This window comes from Homo sapiens, chromosome 8, assembly GCF_000001405.40.
Source record: "Homo sapiens chromosome 8, GRCh38.p14 Primary Assembly".
NCBI classification, from domain to species: Eukaryota; Metazoa; Chordata; class Mammalia; order Primates; family Hominidae; genus Homo; species Homo sapiens.
The window spans coordinates 76,503,605-76,525,704 of NC_000008.11; the positions used below are offsets into that span (position 1 = coordinate 76,503,605).

Sequence of the window (22,100 nt, forward strand, 5' to 3'; positions counted from 1 at the left end):
TTATGGATGCCATTTTTCATAAAGAATCAATATACATAAGATCTTATGAAGAACAGGATGCATATTCTGCAGGCTAAGGTAGTAGAAAGAATTCACGTGGGCTTTGGAAGACAGGCCTGAATTCAAGTTCTGACTACTACTTATTACTGATGCAACCTTGAATAAATTGTGTAATCACTCTAAGTCTCTATAAGATCATCTACAAAATGTGCCTAACAAATACTAAGCATTCAATAAAAATTAATTAGTTGGATTGCCTTCTGTCTAAATCTACAGCTGAATACAATCTCCATTGATTTTCTCAATGCTTATATATACTTATCATATAAACTTTTCCTGAAGAATAGGTCTAAGAAATACATTCCAAAAATTTGAAGAAAAAAAAAGTGTGATATCTGGTGTCATATAAAACTCTCTTATCGTTTTATTTCCTTCTAAGGCCTGATTGTTAGGAAATTCACACTTTCATTAAGAAACATAGGAGCCAATTGCAAAAATTATTTCAAGTTTCTAACACAACTATTTCCATTATTTTTTATTATTTACATGTCCTCTTTTATCTTTATTTCACATGTATTGTTCTACATATGTTTCTTAATTTTTAAAGCCACATATTGTATTTTAAAGTCAAGGAAGTATAATTTAAAAAAAAGTTATGTAAATGATCCCTCCAAATGCTTATAAAATTCAAGAAGGCAAACAAAATTACAAACAAAACCATGTACTATTTATTGTAGTTAGTATATCAGCTGAATAAACATGTAATATTTCTTTATAATATGCTGTAGTATTTTTGGACACACTTATAGGACATGAAACACACAAGGATAATTTCTAATTGGTCAAAATTTGAGTGAAAACTCATAATACGAGGGTTAGTTGGGTGAAGCTCAGCCCCTACTGCTGTAGTTGATTTTGAGGCGAAACTTATAGTCATTATATCTCTCCTCCACCAACCATTAGAGATTTCCTTTCTGTCAGCTAAAATTTATGTGGTATATTTGGCTGTCTTGTGGATTGACATGAACTGTCCTGACCACTTGATTGTTTACTGTCTCTTATACAGTGGATTCTCACTGGTGTGGTATAAAAGATGTTAAACATTTCACTAATTCTTATAGGTCTACTTTCCTGCCACTTTCTCAGAGTTCCTTGCTATATATTCCATTTTTTTTCCCATTTGAGGCCCTAACTAGCCAAACTATTCACTATTTCCCATGAGGCTATAAATACCTATCTTTGGGTCACTTCTGTCTTCACACAAAGTAGATGACCATCAGATATCTGCAGTTTGTTGTGTTGACAAGATTTTGTCTCACCACTTCTCTCTTGGCCACCGAAGAAGGACTGTCAGGTAGCATCTCAAGTACTTGCCACTCCTTGCTCATCTGTTCCAGATAATATATATAATACCATCAATGGCACCAATGTGGTGCCCTGCAAAATGTTAAAATATAGTCTACATCCCACTGGGTAAGACCATAAATAAATGATGTAAATGTGAACTCTTTCTGATAAATTTGTGATGGGTGTCTTAGTCCATTTTCTGTTGCTTTTAAGAGAATACCTAAAACTAGGTAATTTATAAATAAAATAATTTATTTCTTACGATTATGGAGGCTGAGAAGTTCAAAGTCAAGCGGCCTTATCTACCGAGGGCCTTCTTGCTGGTGGGAAGTCTGGAGAATCATGAGGTGGCACAGAGAATCAAATGGTGAGGTGGCTGAGTGTGCTATCGGAGGTCTCGCTCTTCTTAAAAAGCCGCCAGTCCTATTCCCATAACTCAGCAATCCATTAACCCATTAATTCATAAATCCATTAATTCATGAATAGAAAGGCTCCACCTCTCGATACTGCCACATTAAGGATTAAATTCAGCATGAGTTTCGGAGGGGATAAGCATTCAAACCATAGCAGTGGGTATTAAAAAGAATGCTTTCATCAAAGTGCTAGAAACATGTTGCATGCCAGAGACTATATTAATTTAGTAAAGCTACAGCATCCAGCACAGTAGCTAAAAATGGGGTGATTACTCTTTAAGTTTATAGTAGTCCACTATTGTATACAGTGATCTATCTTATTTTTTGCTGGGACCAAACTGGTGAATTAAATGACGATATAATGGAAACTGAGGCTTGCATCCTTTAAGTCTTTTTTTAATTGATGTGTAAAATTTGTGCAAATTTATGGGGTATATGTGGTATTTTAATACATGTATACAATGTGTAACAATCAAATCAGGGTATATAGGCTATCTGTCTCCTTGGACATTTATCAATTTTATGTGTTGAGTTTTATGTGGCCTTTCCAACCATAATAGCTTTTACTCTATTGTAATTGTTTTAATCCTAAATCAAGGAATTAATAAAAGAATTTCGCCAACTACTAAGTGCTTCAATGACACATTTGGGAAATGAGGAACGACCACCAAATTTCCCACTGTGAGCTGTACCTGATTGAAAACTTCATATCACCTGATCTACACATGGCCCTACTCTAACAGGGCTCTGCAATGGCACTGTAGGTCCCTAGATACCTGAGACAACTTGAACCTAAACCTAATAACCCTTGAAAGATATGAGTATTTCCTCTTTTTTAGTATATGAATATTTGAATAAATGGCAGCAAGCAATCTCTGGGTCTGAAAATTGACTCAGGTTGGAAACTGAAAAAGAATGAATGGATATCCATTGGAGTAGTTAATCTCAGTCTTCTCTTTATTTATTTCTTAACTCTTCGGATTGTAGCTAGTAAACAATACCCTTTTGGATGCTCATCTACATGCTGTTAAGACACCATGTTATATTAGCCCTTTGTATATCAGTTATACCCTATGACTGATAGTCTGACTCTTCTGTCAATTACAGTAATTATCCCATCTTATTTCTGATAGTCAAGTGCTGCCTTTGCTATTGCATCATCCTATCACCCTAATTGCCACTAGATGGCCACTGGGGAAAAAAAGCACCCCTCTCCAAAAAAACCTCCCTCTGATATCCCAGGACTACAGAGAAAAGCCACTACTGAGTACTAGATGATCCTGACCCCTTCACCAGTGCATTTCCTATTGTTTTGTTGAACAGAGTGTTCTCCATGCCCTCTTGAGGGACAACTAGTGTGTTTTCTCTTCTTCTGTAGCAGATCCATTCTAGCATAACTCTTGGACATACAATCCCTTTACTCCCTTGGAAGGTGGAATTTTTGATCTGGTGGCCAGCAGGAGAGGTGTAGGCAAATTTTGTAAAACCTAAATATTGCCTTGTAGGAAACATACCTTACGTGTGACTTTACATAATTTTCAAGCAAGGGACAACCACTGTCCTCAAAAACAGGAGAATGGGCCAATTCTGCAGACTCAGAGTGCTTCAGAGGATATCAGATATCATGATATGCCTATCCCAAGTGTTTATATCCAAACTATTCCTGTCAAGACTCTGGATTTAGCATAAGAGTTGTCGAGACTGACGTTCAGCCTATTAAACAATTAGGTCCTGAGACTGATTTTCAGTTTGGCCTGACCTCCAGCTTTGGGAGATTGAGTTTCTTTAAATATTACCAAGGAGGCCCTCCAGCTTTCACTTTAAACTCCACAGTTCTTACATTGCTTTTCACCCAAGACCTGTCAAACACCACAGATATTTCACATACCAGTGCATTTTCTCCCACTTTCATCCCATCCCAATTCACCACAGATGAAGTTCTAGCAGATGTTTTATACAGCATGTCAGGGACTATCAACATTCCACATACACCACTAATAGTCTTCATTGCCAGCTAACCAGTGAGTGATCCAACTTCAAAATCCTGTCCTCAGAATTTGCCTCTGGTACCAAGTGTCTTGGGGCAGATTCTTCATAAGGAGAGAGCCTGATACAAGAATTCAGGTGCATGTGATTTATTAAGAGCATGCTCTCAGAACAAAGGGAGTGGAGGAAGCAGGATAAGACGTGGGAAGGAACTAAACACAGTCGTACTTTCAGCTGGATTCTAGCTTTAGCTAATCCCACAGGAAGCTTTGGAACATGAATGACACCAATTTGTTGGTACTACCCTGAGACAAGATAGCCTCATAAAATGAATTGGGACATAGTTTCACTTTTTTATCTTAGGTTTTTTAAAGATTTGAATTATTTTTTATACTAAAAGTTTACTAGAATTCACTGGCAAAGCCAACTGGGCCTAAATCTTATTTCCTTTGATAGAAATTTGAATAATCAATCCATTTGTCTTAGTCTGTTTAGGATACTGTAATAAAATACTTTAGACTGAGTAGCTTATAAAGAAGAGGCATTTGTTTTTTACAGTTCTTAAGGCTGGGTAGTCTAGCATCATGGTAGCAACAGACTCAGTGTCTGGTTCACAGATGATGCCTTCTAACTGTGTCTTCACATGGTAGAAGGGGCAAAGGGGCTCTCTGGAGCCACTCTTAAAAGGGCATCAGGCGTCCAGGCACAGTGGCTCATGCCTTTAATCCCAGCACTTTGGGAGGCTGAGGCGAGTGGATCACTAAGTCGGGAGATCGAGACCATCCTGGCTAAACCCGTCTCTACTAAAAATACAAAAAATTAGCCGGGCATGGTGGTGGGCACTTGTAGTCCCAGCTACTCAGGAGGCTGAGGCAGGAGAATGGTGTGAACCTGGGAGGCGGGGCTTGCAGTGAGCCGAGATCGTGCCACTGCACTCCAGCCTGGGCAATAGAGCGAGACTCCGTCTCAAAAAAAAAAAAAAAAAAAAAAGGCATTAATCTCATCCAAGAGGCTGGCACTCTCATGATCTAATTGACTCTCAAAGGTCCTGACTTCTATTATCATCACATCGGTGATTGGGCTTTTAAAATGTGAATTTTAGGGGACACAGATGTTCAAACCATAGCACAATTCTAATACAAATATTGTTATTTTGATTATTATGTATAAAATTTGGTAAGTTGTATTTTCCAAGAAATTCGTCAGTTTCTTCTAAATTTTCAGATTTATTGCCATAAAATTATTCATAATCACATTTAATTATCATTTTAATGTTTGTGGAATCTGGGTTGAAGTCCCCTTTTTATTTCTGATATTGATCATTTATGTTATCTTTTTTCTTCATCTTGCTAGGGATCTTTTTATAAGCATTTCAAATTATAAAATTGTTATGCTTTTGATGATTTTTATTTTGTATATTTATCTTCTATTTTGTTGATCCCTGCTCCTTACTATCATTGTACTTCTATCTTATTTAAGTTTGATTTATTTTTCTAGTTCCTTGATATGAAACTTCAAATAATTGATTTTCAGTCTTACACTTTTAAATATATATTGTAATGCACTTCTAAGCACTGCCTTAATGAAATCTCACAAGTCTTAGTACATTATATCTGTGTTAACAATCAGTTCAAAATCTTTTAAAATTTTATTATGATTTCTTATTTGACCTATGAGCTATTTGAAGTATACTGATAATTTCCAAATGTTTGCATATTTTTGTTATACATTTTTGATTCATTTCTTGTTATTTTAACAGTGGTCAGAAAAGATACTTTGAATTATTTCAGTCCTTTGAAGTTTTTTTTGATATGTTTCATGTGCACTTGAAAAGAATATGTATATTCTGTCACTGTTGAGTGTGGTTTCTGTACATTTCAATTAGGTTGAGGTTTTTTTTATCATGTTGTTCAGGTCTCATATCTTCTGTATTCTCACTGACAACTTATCTCCTTTTTCTATCAGTTAGAGAGATGTATTAAAATCTTCCAACATAATTGGGAATTTATATATTTTGCTCTTAATATCATTAATTTTTGCATTACATTGAAGTTATTGTTGCATTTATACAGACTATGAATTATTATATCGTTCCAGTAAATTGACCTATTTTCATTATGAAGCATTCTTGTTTACCTCTAGTAATCCTTCCTTCATTAATATCTACTTTAATATTAGTATAACTACATAAGTCATATTTTTAGGGAGGTTCATGTTGCATGGCTCTGTGTCCTTATATTTTAAGAGTGTCTAAGTCTCATATTTAAATAGCATAGGGTAAGGTGTTCTAAAATTATCATTGTCTGATATTGTAATCATTTAATTAGAGTATTTAGTCCATTTATACTTAATGTGATTATTGATATGATTTGTCTATATCTAGTATCTTACTATTACTTTGCCTTAGATTTACATGTTTAAATGCTTCGTTCTTCCTCTTTCTTGCCTTATTTTATCAATATGTTATTATCTGCCTTTTTGCCTTCTTAAATGGTAGTTTTACATTCTTTTACTATTATTTCACTTATGCTAGCTATTACAATTTGCTTCGTTGACATATTATAACCCCAAAATATAAAACCACTGAAGTTCAAATGCCTGATTTTACTAAGTACAGGCAGATCTCCTTCAAACAATCAACCTGTCTTGGACAGAACTTTAAATCTGAAGAATACATTCTAGTATAAAATCAATTCTGACAGCAGTAGTGTTAAGAACAAAATCAACTTATTATGGTTATTGGTGACAATCCACAACATCTAATATACAATACCACTGCCAGCTTTGGGATCCTTACTAGAAAGTTCCTTCAGAATAATTTTGCCTATCTTTGTCCAACATGCCTCTTGGTTCTTGCCCAATTTTCAAAACTGATTCTTCTGTTTTATTGAATTTTTATGAATTATGCATAGTCTTTCAGGTTATTTCTTCCTTTATCAGTTAGCATTGGTTCTTGATCAATACATGCAGATTCAAGAAATATATATTGTCAAAAATTAACAATATTAATTTATTTTTCTTTTTTTTATTATACTTTAAGTCCTGGGATACATGTGCAGAATGTGCAGAATGTGTACATAGGTACACACTACCATGGTGGTTTGCTGCACCCATCAACTCGTCATCTACATTAGGTATTTCTCCTAATGCTATCCCTCCCTTAGCCCCCCACCCACTGACAGGCCCTGGTGTGTGATGTTCCCCTCCCTGTGTCCATGTGTTCTCATTGTTCAACTCCCACTTATGAGAGAGAACATGTAGTGTTTCGTTTTCTGTTCCTGCGTTAGTTTGCTGAGAATGATGGTTTCCAGCTTCATCCATGTGCCTGCAAAGGACATGAACTCATCCTTTTTCATGGCTGCATAGTATTCCATGGTGTATATGTGCCACATGGGAATGAGTTATACTAAAAGCAATAGCTATGTAAGAAAAAATTTATAGATTTGAGTTTATAATTAAAAATTATAATTAAAAACACATGAAAAAAGCTAAAAAGAAAGTAACTAACTGAAAAGATTTGCAATGATGAACAAATTGTTAGTATCCTGGATATGTGAAAAGATAAATGAACACATAACTAAAAATTTTAAGTGAAGAAATACAAATAATCAGTAAATACTTGACAAAAGTCTTTACCCCATGAGTAATTGAATAGATGCAAATGAAATTATATTTGTAACCTTTCATAGTGATAAAATGCATAAAGATATCTACTAATATTGGCAAGGAAACCTAGAAAAAAGTTCTGTTTTTAAAAACAGTGCTGGGGAAGTGCAAATAGCTACAACCTTTCTGGCCATCAATCTAGTACTAAAAGGCTTAAAAATGTGAATACATTTTTTAAAAACAGAGTTTTATACTTAAGAGTGTAGACTTGGAAGTCTACACTTGGAATTCAATGTCACCTCTGCACTTAAAGAATACAGAATCTTCAGCAAGTTATCATACTTTATTAATTCTAACATGCATATTTAAATATTTCTCATAAATGAATTGGCAGTACTTGTTTTTATTTTTATTTGCACATAATAATGGTGTTTCATACACCAGATGGCCATTTCAATTCAATTAGGTGCAGTCTTAGCTTCCTTATGTGCCAGTATCTTAACACCTTATACAAGTAACCAATTAATATTTGTTGGAGGAAAAAACAGAACAAAAGCAATCATGAAGCAGCATGTACTTTATAGAGTTGTTCTGAGAATTAAATGAATAAATGCATGTAATGCAAGTATTGAGTGAATGCATTTAAAGTACTAAAGTATTGTTATTGTCATTCTGCAATCATACTTCCAGAAAACTTAGCTTAAGAAGTAATTAGAAAAAGATGTATGCACAAGTATATTCAACACAGTGATTTGTATAATAGATTTTTTAAAAGAAACAATCATAATATATGACAGTGATTGGTTAAATAAATGATGACAGTAAATGTAATCATATATATTTCTAATAAATATGTTTATGTTTTTATGGAAATATGTTCAAAGTAGATGGTTATATTAAAAAGTTACAAACTACATCTATAAAATTAAATAACTGTAAATAAATAGTGTACGTATATACTCATGTAACTATACTTAGAAAAATACTTGAAGTAACTGTGTATATATAATATGTTATATATATATATATATATATATATATATACAGAGAGAGAAAAAATATTGAAAGAGAGATTTCCAATTTGTCACAATTTATGCAATCATTTTTTCTTTGCACATTTAAAATTTTCTTCCATGAGCCTTCATTACTATATTTAACAATAATCATAATTCAAGTAACTACTTTTTACAAGTTACTTGTGTGGTAAGAAATATCTTTGGCTGAATTTGGCAGGAAAATAAATTTGAAAATCCATTCACAGATCTTAGCAGTAGAAAATGAACACATTCCTGTTTTCTTACAGTGCCTGATACAAGTGACCAATTAATATTTGTTGGAGGACAAAATGAAACAACAGTAATCATGAATAAAATAGTTGATAACTTGGAAAATTAAAATTTTGACAAAACAAACAGAAGGCCGGGCGCGGTGGCTCACGCCAGTAATCCCAGCACTTTGGGAGGCCGAGGCGGGCGGATCACGAGGTCAGGAGATCGAGACCATCCTGGCTAACAAGGTGAAACCCCGTCTCTACTAAAAATACAAAAAATTAGCCGGGCGTGGTAGCGGGCGCCTGTAGTCCCAGCTACTCGGGAGGCTGAGGCAGGAGAATGGCGTGAACCCGGGAGGCGGAGCTTGCAGTGAGCCGAGATCGCGCCACTGCACTCCAGCCTGGGCGACAGAGCGAGACTCCGTCTCAAAAAAAAAAAAAAAAAAAAAAAACAGAAATTTTTCAAAAGCAACAATATAAGAAATGTATTTGTAATTGTGAATAAATAGTATTCTTACATACCAAACAAAGGCACTGTTTTAAGAAGATAAACGGTAACTACAGACACTCTTATTTTAACATCTAAGTAGTACAAACTCCTATACAGTCAAATATGATAGAACATTTACTTTTACATTTTTATAATAAGCATCTAGGCTCTGCCTTTATGGCATTGTAAAGAATGCTGATATAAGAAGAATTAATATAAACACATCAAATTCTAACATCATTCCATCACTGCCTTGCTGATGTTTATTTCACCCCTAGCAGTAGCATTAATTTTTTAGTCATTGAAATGATTATCTAGTTTTGTTTTTAAAAGATTCTTGGTAAATGCTTTGCTATCCATATTTGTCATGTTTCTTAGGTAGTGGTCAACCTATTTAGCGTCAGAGAAGTTGTAAAAAATAGCAAATGTAAATACGGAATGAGAAGAGATCACTGAGAAAATATTGCCTTTTTAAAAATTCATGATGCTATGGGAAATCACAAGGAAGTGAAAGCATTTAGTAGATGAAATGTATCTGTAGTCTTATTTATAAGAACAAAAGGAAAAAGCCTTTATATCTTATCTCATATGTTTTAATATATTTTATATACCTTTGTATGTAAAAAGATTGAAAAGTTTATGAAATTGAGATCGGACACAGATTTGTTAATCAGAGGCTTCAAAGAGGACTTTGTTTATTATTCATTTGTTTTCTTTTTCACTTATGAAATACTCATTGATGTTGACTGTGTGCCAAGCAAGGTGCTAGATATACAAGAAAAACAAGACAGACATTATTTTTGCCTTGGCCGACATCATATTTCAATGGCACACATACACAGACATTAAACAAATAAACAAAGAAACAGCATAGTTGCAGATTGGGTGAGTACTCTGAAGTATCTACATAGTGTGCTCTCATAAAACTAACAGCAGGGGTTGTTAACTATAGAAAGAATGTTACAGAAGCCCTTTTGAAGAATTTAAAGTTAAACTAAAGCCTGAAAAATAATAAGTTATCCATGCAAATTATCAGGGGAACAAGGTTCAAGGCAGAGAGAACAGGAAGAGCAAAGATCAAAGTTGTGAAGAACCTGACCTGTTCTTGGAATTGATAGAAGGCTAATCAGCAGTATAAGACCAAAAATGACTTGATACCTACTGATGGAAAGACAAAACTCACGGCCCTTTCAAGAAGATATGATAAATTTTGAAGATTGTTTTTTGAATTTAAGAAAGGTTTCATTAAGTAGGTCCATATTTTCACATTTCTACTTTTTTAAAATTTAAAATATGCCTTATCAGATATCCAAATGAAGTAAAAAAAAAAAAGGCAAGATGCAAAGCTGCATCTTCCAGTTTTAGATGCAAAGCTGTACAAGAAACTGAAAGGAATACTTCTCCCAAGGAGGGCAACCAGGTGACTCGGGAAAGAGACAGAAGGATGCTTATTGTTCAGACCAGCATTTTGTACCATAGTAAATTTTTTATCATATACTTGGATTACATTTGAGAAAGAAAAAAAAAATGTTTCATTATGGAGACTCAGTCAAAACTTCCTTAATGTCTTTCTGATATCCCTTGGTTTCTTTGAAGATAAAGGAGCATATACCAAAAAGGCTTCAGTGTGAAACAACAGAGATGTAATCTCCCCTTTAAAAAGTATACTATTCTATTAGGTATCCTTCAGAATTATCAAAGTAATGTGATTTACTTTTTTTGTATGTGTTAATGATAGGCAAAGCAATCTTGAACAACAACAACAAAAAAAAACACAAAGCTAGAGGCATTGCATTACCCAACTTCAAACAGACACATAGACAAATGGAACAGAATAGGGAACCCAGAAATAAAGCTGCGCACCTACAGCCATGTGATCTTCAGGAGAGTTGACAAAAACAAGCAATGGAGAAAAGACTTCCTACTCAATAAAGGATGCTGGAAAAATTGGCTAACCATATTCAGAAGAATTAAACTGGATTCCTACCTCTCATTGTAAACAAAAATTAACTTAAGATAGATCAAAGACTTAAATGTAAAATGAAAAATTATAAAAATCCTAGAATAAAATTTAAGAAATACTCTTCTAGACATTGGCCTAGGCAAAAAAAATTATGACTAAGTCCTCAAAAGCAAACGCAACAAAAATAAAAATTAACAATTAGGACCTAATTAAATTAAAGAGCTCCTGCACAGCAAAAAGAAACTATCAACTGAGTAAACAGACAACCTACAGAATGGGAGAAAATATTCGCAAACTATGCATCCAACACAGGACTAATACCCAAAACCTTTAAGGAACTCAAACAAATCAACATACAAAAGCCAAATGATCCCATTAAAAAATAGGCAAAGGACATGAATCGACACTTCTCCAAAGAAGACATACATGTCGCCAACAAACATGAAAAAATACTCATTAACAATAATTTCAGAGAAATGCAAATCAAAACCACAGTCAAATACCTTCTCACACCAGTCAGAATGCCTGTTATGAAAAACGCAAGTAGAACAGATGATGGCAAGGTTGCAGAGAAAAGGGAGCACATATACCCTGTTGGTGGGAACGTACATTAGTTCACTCCTTGTGGGAAGCTGCTGGAGATTTCTCAAGGAACTAAAAAAGAACTCCCATTTGACTTAGCAATCCCATTACTGAGTATATACCCAAGGAAAACAAATAATCCTACCAAAAGGACACATGCACTCATATGTTTATCACAGCATTATTCACTGAGACAACAACATAGAATCAACCTAGGTGTCCAATAATGGTGAACTGGATAAAGAAAATGTGGTATATATACCATGGAATACTATGTAGCCATAGAAAAGAATAAAATAATGTCCTTTGCAGAAACATGGATGGAGCTGGAGGCCATTTTACTAAGTGAATTAAGACAGAAACAGAAAACAAAATATCACATGTTCTCACTTATAAGTGGGAGCTAAACATCATTAATACATGGACATAAAGATGAGAAAAATAGACACTGGAAACTCTAAAAGGAAGGAAAGAGAGAGGGGGTTAAGAGTTGAAAAACTACTTATTGGGTACTATGTTCGCTATCTTGGCAATGGGTTCAATAAAAACCCAAACCCCAGTATCATGCCATATGTCCACATAACCTGCATAATAAGTACCCCTGGGTCTAAAACAAATTTAAAAGAAAAAAATTGCTAATAAGCTCCTAATCATACAATACCAACTATTATAATAAATTCAGAAAAATCACAAGTTCTTCAGCTGCATCATTATGAAATGAGAAGGTAGTAGTAGATGACTTATAGATTCATTGCAGTTCTAATTTGCTGATTTTTGCAATTCATCTATTCATTTACCACGTATTTCCTGATTCATAATGTGAAACAACACTGTGCTAGGCATTAAGAAATCAAAGATGTATTTTATGATAGAAACTGGTAGAGTCTCCCAGTATTTGTTCTCTGCTTTTATAGTTGTAGTATTTTCAGTGGCCAAAGATTGACAGCTAATATAAGACTTTATCTCCCAGCTTCCAAACCAATGTGATGGAAGTGAAGTATATGTGTTTTGAGTGGAAAAATATGGAAGTGAACTCTAGTCAAATTTGAGATCTTGCACCCATCCCTCACCTTTCCCCTGTTCTCTCACTGGCTGAAATATTGATGTAATGAAAAATAATTTTAACTTCATGAAACATAACATAATTTGAACATGAACAAATACACATTTTTCAGATTGGCCAATTTCAGAATGACAGAAGGGAAAGAAACTGTCCTAGATGACAAGATGGGGGCAACAGTTAAAAGATAGAAGAGGAAAAAGTCAAAGGAGCTATGTCCTGACATTGCGGAGTTGACCTGTCAACCGTGAACTGCTTATATCAAATGGATGAAAGAAAACCTATCTTGTTTAAGCTATATGGTTACTTTTGTCCACTTATTTGTTTTGTTTTATGAACTTAATTGTATCCTAATATGGGATCTCTACATCCCTTTTATTTCTTTTAAGTCACAATCAAGAGTTAGAGAAACAAGTTAATAAATGATTGCAACATAAATCGGCAAGTGATTTAATAATGGTATAAACTGAGTGTTCCAGAAAAGAAGGATCAACTCACTCCAGTAAACATAATGAAGAGAACGTTTACAGAAATAAAGTGACGTTTAACTGGGCCTTAAAGGATAAATAATAGTTTTCTAGATATAAAAGAAGATAAGGATATTCCTGGAAGAGAAAATAGAATATAAAAACTCCAAGTCATGACAAGACAAATCTTGCATGGAAACTAGTGAGAAGCTTATTGTGACTGACATTTGAAGTGTATAAGAGGAGAACGGCAAGAGATGTTAAAGCTGGGTGAGATTCCAAAGACAAATCAGTTTGGTCTTTTTCCCTTAGGTAATGTGGAGCCAGGAAGACTCATAAAACAAGAAAGTGACACCATCAGGTTTGTTTCTCAGAAAGTAATCAGAAAGACACAGAGATTAGAAAAGGAAGACATGTGGAAACAAGGCTAATTTTAACTTTGTGGATTGCATATAACTTGAATAAGAAGACATACATTTTTCAGATTGACTGATATAATTATTAAGAATATGCAAAAAAAGCAATCTTAACCATCTTTCTTGCTTATATTATGTTTACATCTTAAAAATACTAGTGGATACCTATAAAATGTAATAAAATTGTTATTAACAAAAGTAATCAATATGAATTAAAACTTAATTTATGTATGTTTTACACACATGAATGAATGTACATATACATATATGTTTATGCATACATGTATATATATATATGTAGAGACAGAGGGAGAAAGATATGTAGATATAATTAGATTTCATGTGCATGTTTATATATGCATATCGTTAATAAGTGAATTTCCAGGAAAAATTTACATATGTTATTATCTGTGTGGGAGTAGAAGACGGAATCAAACTAATAATTTATCTGTTCTGTCAGATGAGAATTCAAAGAGAAGACCAATTACACTAAGGCCAAATTATACTATTCAATTACACAGGTGAATCAATCCAACTCAACATGTCAAAGCATAAAAAAATGTTTTAGAAAAGACAGGCAACATACTAAATTTCCCTACCCATTACCTAGAAATAAGTACTACTTGAAAGAGTAAAATGTCATTCTGTCAATATTCTTGAGCTTATGAAATTTTTCTCAAGCCCATCCATCAAGGTGCCTTCTACTTCACTCTCAAATACTTTCCTAAAACATATTGTCCTGTGAATTTTCTTTGAAATGTTTTTGAGTTAAAGAAAATAGGGCAACAGTAAAATAACAATATGCAGAGACTCATCAGTGTCCCCAGTATTTATAATCTAATCTTTTTCTCGCATTTTGTTTCATTTTAAAATCTTACTTCTGAATTAGTGTGTGTGATACATAGAATGTGGTTAATGCAGTGGTCTTTTTTTAAAAATCTTGGCTATGTGTTCATGATATTGTAATGCAAAAATTGAGGGGCACTATGGAGAGAGATGAAGCAGGAAAAGTAGGTTGGAGTAGACCATGCGGAGTTTTTAAACCCACTTAATGTTTTCGTCTTTATTGATAACAATGGGATGCCAGTGAAGGGTTTTAAGCAGAAGAGTGTTATAATCAGATTTGCATTTCTTAAAAGATCTCTCTGACTCCACTTTGGAGAATGAACTGCATGGCGATAAGGAACAGGAAGGGCAGACAGGAAGCTACAACCATAAGCTCTCTGGTAGGGAGAAAATGGTAGCTTCCACTAGGTTGTGGTAATAGCAGAGAGAAGTGGACTTGTTCTAAAGGTATTTAAAAAGTCATATAGACAAGACTTTGTGAGTCACTAGATAAATTAAGTGAGGAATAGAGAGAAGTTGAGGATAATATTAATATTGTGCATTAGTATGACAATTGGCTATTCACAAAACTTTTTAAATTATTTCACTAATTTTAACATTAAGGAAAAAATGACGATTGTTATTGTCGCTCAGTTTTACAAAGGAGTAAACAGAGACCACGAGAAGTTAAGCAACCTAGCGAGGGTCTTAGGCACTTGTTAATATTTGGAGTTTATACTTGAACTTAGGAATTCTTTCTGCAATTTCAGGATACTGTTTACTGAAAACCCACCAATCTGATCTTTTATGAGAAGCTAGTCCCTGAAAAGGCCCTTGGATCAAAGGTGGGTACTAATTTTTCTACTCATCTTTCAATTCCAATCTCTCTGGGCAATGAGCCCAATTGATTTGTTAAGAGCTTCAAAGCAAAGAAAGACAAGGTCATAAGCCACAAGCATTCAAAAATATGGGGAAAACAAAACAAACCAAAGAAGAAAAAAGAAATAGAGAATCCTCTGTCCCACAGTCAGCTCTGGAAGGAGTCATAATTGTATACAGTTAAATTATACTTAAAGGTTATGTCACCAAAAATTGTAGAAAGATAACAATAGAAGTGAACTCCTCTCTTAGCAGTGAGTTCAGATTTCAGTTATTCAAAAGTTTCAGGCATATGGGCCAGTGAGTTTCTTACACAGTAATAAGTGGTAAATATGATAAGCCTTTTTACTATTAGCACAATTGTTGACAAATATTTTTGAAATAGTGAATTGACATAAGGGCAAATTGATGCACCAGAAGCCAGCTTGATGAAATTGAGGTGAAAAAGTACCTTTGGGTATACCTGGACATATGGTCACAATGCTTCCCCACATTGTCTTACATGGAGTGATAGAGATAAAAGTAATTTTTGTGATAAAGCAAAGAAGGAAGCAGTTGCCTGAGATAATTTTAGTAATTCTGAAAATATTACCCAATAAACTTATGATCCAGTCTAAAAAATAAAATACAATTAATGCATTTGAAACTACTAGTATGTTTCCTGATTTGATCCAATTGCCACCTTATAGAGGTATCACTATTTTGAATTTTGTGTTGAATATTCTCGTTTTTTACACTTTTACTGCATTTGTATGTATTTCTAAGCAATATGTTTTTTCTGAGTTTTTTTATTTTTAATTCTATCATAATATACAATCTTCTCTGATTTGCTTATTAAATTCAGTTTCTTGCAAAATACCCCAAAACAGATCCTAACACAATTGTGTGCTGTGAAATTAGCCCTGAAAATCCACCAACCTAAAGGAATAAGACGACCAAAAAGAATTATGATGATGCTTAAGAAACAGCTCTCGGCTAGAAGTGGTGGCTCATGCCTGTAATCCCAACACTTTGGGAGGCCGAGATGGACAGATCACCTGAGGTCGGGAGTTCAAGACCAGCCTGGCCAACATGGTGAAAACCCATCTCTACTAAAAAAAAAAATACAAAAATTAGCCGGGCATGGTGTTGGGTGCCTGTAATTCCAGCTACTCAGGAGGCTGAGACAGGGAGAATTGCTTGAACCGGAGAGGCAGAGATTGCAGTGAGCCAAGATCTTGCCACTGCACTCTAGTCTGAGTGACAGAGCAAGACTCCATGTCAAGGAAAAAAAAAAGAAAAGAAAAAAAGAAACAGCTCTCACCCAGCCAGACATAAATGTATTCCTTGTCTTCCATCTAGCCATAGGCCATAGCATGGTCATCCCTTCAACACTGAAACTCCTGGGTAGATAAAGGATTAAATTTGGTCTTTATCAGTGTTGGGAATTGTCTTAAAGGGAATCTAACCTTCTATAATTTGTTTTCTTTTTAAATAATTTCAACTTTTATGTTAGATTTGGGGGTATATGTGCAAGTTTGTTACTTACATGGGTATATTGCATGATGCCATGGTTTGAGGTATATGGATCCCATCACCCAGGTAGTGAGCATAGCACTCAACATGCAGTTTTTCAATCCATGCCCCTCTTCTGCACTACCCTCTCTAGTAGTCCCCTGTGCCTATTGTTTCCATGTTTATATCTGTGTGTACCCAGTGTTTAGCTCCACTTATAAGTGAGAACATGTGGTATTTGCTTTTCTGTTTCTGCATTAATTCACTTAGGATAATGGCCTCCAGCTCCATCCATGCTGTGGCAAAAGACATGATTTCATTTTTTATGGCTGCATAATATCCCATGTACCATATTTTATTTATCCAGTCCACCACTGATTGGCACATAGGTTGACTCTATATCATTGTCTCAGTGAATAACGCTGTGATGAACGTATGAGTGCATGGTCATTTTGGTAGAAGTATTTGTTTTCTTTTGGATATACACCCAGTAATGAGATTGATTGCTAGATCAAATGGGAGTTCTATTTTTAGTTCCTTCAGAAATCTCCAGGCAGCTTTCCACAGGGACTGAACTAATTTACATTCCCACAAACAGTGTATAGGAGTTCCCATTTCTCTGCATCCTCACCAGCACCTGTTATTTTTGCCTTTTTAATGATAGCCATTCTGACTGATGTGAGGTGGTATCTCATTGTGGTTTTGATTTGCATTTCTCTGAAGATCAGTGATGACGAGCATCTTTTTACATGTTTTTTGGCCACATGTATGTCTTTTACTGAGAAACGCCTATTCATATCCTTTGTCTATTTTTTAGGGTTTATGTGTTTTCTGCATGTTGATTTGTTTAGGTTCCTTAAATATTCTAGATATTAGACCTTTGTCAGATGTATAGTTTGCGATTATTTTCTCTCATTCTGTAGGTTGTCTGTTTACTCTGTTGATAGTTTCTTTTGCTGTGCAAAAGAAGCTCTTTAGTTTAATTAGGTTCTAATTGTTAATTTTTATTTTTATTGTGTTTGCTTTTGAGGACTTAGTCATAAATTATTTGCCAAGGCCAATGTTTAGAAGACTACTTCCTAGTTTTTCTTCTAGGATTTTTATAATTTGAGGTCTTACATTTAAGTCTTTGATCAACTTGAGTTAATTTTTGTATGCAGTGAAAGGTAGAAGCCCACTTTTATTCTCCTGCATATGGCTAGCTAGTTATCCCAGCACCATTTACTGAATAGGGAATCTTTTCCCTAGTGTTTGTTTTGTTTCAACTTTGTTGAAGATCAGTTGGTTTTACGTTATGTGGCTTTGTTTCTAGGTTCTTTATTCCATTCCACTGGTCTATGTTTCTGTATCAGTATCATGCTGTTTTGGTTACTGTTGCCCTATGGTATAGTTTGAAGTATGATAATGTGATGCCTCTGGCTTTGTTGTTTTTGCTTGGGATTGCTTAGGCTATTCAGGCTCCTTTTTAGTTCCATATACATTTTAGAATAGTTTTTATTCTGTGAAAAATGACGTTGGGAGTTTGATAGGAATAGCATGGAATCTGTAAATTGCTTTGGGCAGTACAGCCATTTAACAATATTGATTATTCCAATCCATGAGGGTGGAATGTTTTTCCATTTATTTGTTTCATCTCTGATTTCTTTCCTCAGTGTTTTGTAGTTCTCCTTGCAGAGATCTTTTACCTCCTTGGTTAGCTCTATACCTAGATATTTTATATTTTGTGTGGCCATTGTAAATGGGATTGTGGTCTTGATTTGACTCTCAGCTTTAATGTTATTGGTGTATAGAGCTGCTACTAATTTTCATACATTGATTTTGTATTCTGAAACTTTATTGAAGTCATTTATTAGTCTAGAAGCCTTTTGGTGGAGTATTTAGGATTTTGTAGTAGAGGATTATATAATCAGAAAACAAAGATAGTTTGACTTCTTCTTTTCCTATTGGATGCCTTTTATTTCTTTCTCTTGCCTGATTTCTCTGGCTAGGACATCAAGTACTATGTTGAATAGGAACCTAACTTTTGAAAGCCTAAGCAGAGACTTGAGAGAGGAAGTGGAAGTGGTCTGTTTTTTCTGAGGGCTACTGGGAGCTATCCCTGGTGCTGCCACAAAATCAACCTCTCTAACACCAATTTTCGGCTGTTTGACCTCAGTAGAACATGACTACTAAGCTGAGCTAAATTAAGCATCAACTGTTTGAGCTAATGAATCTTACTAAAAATTTAACTTCAGTTTTGCAAGTGATTTTCATATGTTATGTGCTGTGTATCTCCACCACACTTCTTCCTTTCTTGTATTTGAGCACCGCCTCTTTGAGCACCACCACCACCAGCAATACTACAACAACCATATCTCAAAGGCCTCCTATCTCCAGGCACTGGCTTATTATATATACTAACATCTCTCCTGCTAAAAAAGAAAAAAAAACTGTATAATTAATATTATCATTCCATTTTACAGAGAAGAAGCAGGCTTAAGAGTAGCTAAACCAAAGTTAAAAATCTAAAAGAGTCAGGGCTCTGACTCCAAAGCTTGAATCACTCCCCTCCTTCTTTAATTGTAAACTGCCTGAACCACACTTCTTTCTAGAATCTCTAAAACTCCTGCCTTTTCTTAGAACATGTATATATTAGACTGTATTGTACCATAACACCATTAAAAAACTTACTTAAAACAATAACTAATGCATATCAAGTATTTTATACATTCCAAACACTGTTCAAAATATTTGCATGAAATTCTCACAACAATTTCATGAAATATAATTTTATACTTTCTCTCATTTCACAGGTCAAAAACTTGAAGCACAGAGTGGGATGTCAGATGCCAAGATTTAAATCTAGTCATTTGATTCCAGAGCCCACATTCTTAAATAATATGCTACACTGACCTTTATTGTCTTTAAACATTATCTTTATTTAATGTGTTTCATAGAAATTACTTCTCAGGTATTCCTAAATTTATTTTTAAAAATAATGTCATGCTATCACTATAATATAGTTTTTTAAATTAACTTGAGAGGTAATGTAGTATGATCAACTTCCTTAATGGCCTTTTAAACTGGAAATAACTATTAAATATTTTAATATTATAAATTAACAGGCAAAATGGTGAAAAATCTAACATCTGGTTCTTAAAAGTAAGTTGAAATATAAGATCAGATTTGAATGCACATGGAAAAATAGAACTGGCAAATAATGCCATATTTGAAGATCTTTTAGTATTCTCTGGTATTTTTCCTTTCATTTCAAAATTGTTATATTCTTTTTAATGACTTCAAATGAATTAGGAAATGTCAGGCTTCTAAAAATCAAACAGAACGTCCAACCAGTAGATTTCATTCAGGGCAGTGGGAGCCTGTTCGGTTGTTTCCTCTTTCCCCCTCACTTTTAAAAATCCTCAATCACTGCCATTTCTCTTCTCAGCTTTCACAACACTTTACAGGCAGCTGAATGAAAGGGCAGAAGCTTCCTCTGAAACTCCTGTTATTTCAGCTCTAAAATCAGCTGAAAAGGATGCCCTCCCCAGAGACAGAAATGCATTCCCTCCATCATGAACCTGCAATGCCCTCAGGTTGTGGCAAGGGAGAAGTTTAGCACTTGAACCTAGATAACGCTATTTTTTTAATCAAAGTGCACCATTCTTGTTTCATATGGCCTGTGGCACAATTTATTTAAAACAATATGGTGCATCAAAGAAGGTAAACAATAATAACAATAATAATAATATAGGAATAGCAATGTGCACATAAATAATATAGGAAAACACATGGCCTCAGTACCTTCATGAAATGGGACTTCAATATACATATTTCTTATACAGCTTTATGCATGACTTCATTGCACTTCACTGCTCTGTTGTGTCACTCTACCAATAAACCTATACATCATACTGAGTGAAGTATGTTCACAGTCCCTTTACTTGACAAAAAAAAAAAAAAAAAAAAAAAAAAGGAGCAGTGTGGTTTAGGAGAATGACCACTGAGCTAGAAGTATGAAGACTAGATAGAACTTGAGTCCCATCCCCAGCACTTTCGGGCTCCCAGATGTTGGGTGAGTTGTGCATCCTCTTTAAAAATCAGTTTGCAGACCAATGGTACATCTCTGTCCACCTGCTAGAGTTCTTGTGGTAACTAAATAAGGTAATGTATAAGAAAGCATTCTGAGAAAATGCTACATGTAAAAGGGGATTTTTTTTTTCTCATTGTGATTTTTTTACTATGTTTTTACTTTACAAATTTACAAATGTTTACTTTTCTTGAATTTGCTTACCAGTAAATTAGTTCACTGCTGGCACTTCTTTGTAGTCTATTGCTATGGGAAGTAATATGTTTATCTGAAAATTATGAAGATTCCTAGAGTTTCTTTACACTTGTTATATTTTAGGGGCAATAAAAAAAGTATATGCTTAAACTTGAATTATGTCTTATTTTTCTTTAGTGCATTATAATTTCACATCTAAATACTGGTATGTTTGTACCAAATTAGCAAAGCAAAAATGCAAAATGTTATTAATTGACATTGGTCGTTTTTTTATTTATACCACATCCCCATATCCTATTTATTTGACTATAGATGTCCATCTAATTTAGAAAATCATTATCTAACCTGTTTCATTTTACCAAATTGTCTTTTTTAATAATTTAGGTTTTGAGTATTTTCTCCTAAGCTTTTGAATCCATGCTTACACAATTGCATTGATATTATTTGAGTCAGAGTGAGTTGTTCAAAGTCTCATATTTGAAATGAGAGGCTTATTTTAACCAAACATATTGACTTTTAATGCTGTTAGCACTCATTTTTTCAATATATTTTTCTATGACATTCATGATATATAAAAGCATACAAACCTGTACAGAATGATAATACTTAAATATTTTCTAAGCGCACATGATCTACATGCCACGTTACAGTTGTAAATTAAAGTCTAGTATGTTGCAGAAATCAGCCTTCCATACCATAGTTTTCCTCCCTGAATGAGGCAAGAGTCAGTCAGTAAATATATGTGGTCAACCTCAGATTTGCCTCACTGGGAGTTCACATGTATTTTTAACTGCCTTCAATTGTTAATGTATTCCTCAAATGAGATGCATCACCTTGAAGAATGACTTTTTGCCCTCTGGGAATAGGCCAAACAAGTATTTCATTCGCTATGATAATCAGTTCTATCTTCAGCAACATATAAACCCAAATTTAATAGGCACTGGTGATTAGGTTTTAAGTCAGAGAGTCATCACTGTCCACTGTGAAAAATAATAAGAAAAAATACAAATTATAACGAATTTGCCTTCAGGAGGCCTT

General features: G+C 34.2%; 2 long non-coding RNA genes across 2 annotated transcripts in view, besides 1 other annotated feature; one reads left to right on the top strand and one right to left on the bottom strand.

Annotated features, from left to right (window-relative positions):
* Window positions 1–20,752, top strand: part of LINC01111 (long intergenic non-protein coding RNA 1111) — a 117,703-nt gene extending 96,951 nt beyond the window's left edge. The window contains exons 4-6 of the long non-coding RNA NR_105006.1: window positions 6,787–6,880; window positions 15,196–15,270; window positions 19,591–20,752. This is a non-coding gene — a long non-coding RNA (long intergenic non-protein coding RNA 1111). The remainder of the gene's footprint in view (window positions 1–6,786; window positions 6,881–15,195; window positions 15,271–19,590) is intronic.
* LOC107986952 (uncharacterized) overlaps window positions 1–22,100 on the bottom strand; it is a 113,744-nt gene that overhangs the window by 19,669 nt on the left and 71,975 nt on the right. The gene's annotated exons all lie outside the window — the stretch shown is intronic.
* Window positions 18,845–18,994: an enhancer, noted in NCBI's record as "active region_27544". NCBI's record gives its function as "activates an Ori minimal core promoter by ATAC-STARR-seq in GM12878 lymphoblastoid cells {active_cell/tissue: GM12878}" and the evidence as "EXISTENCE:reporter gene assay evidence [ECO:0000049][PMID:35858748]".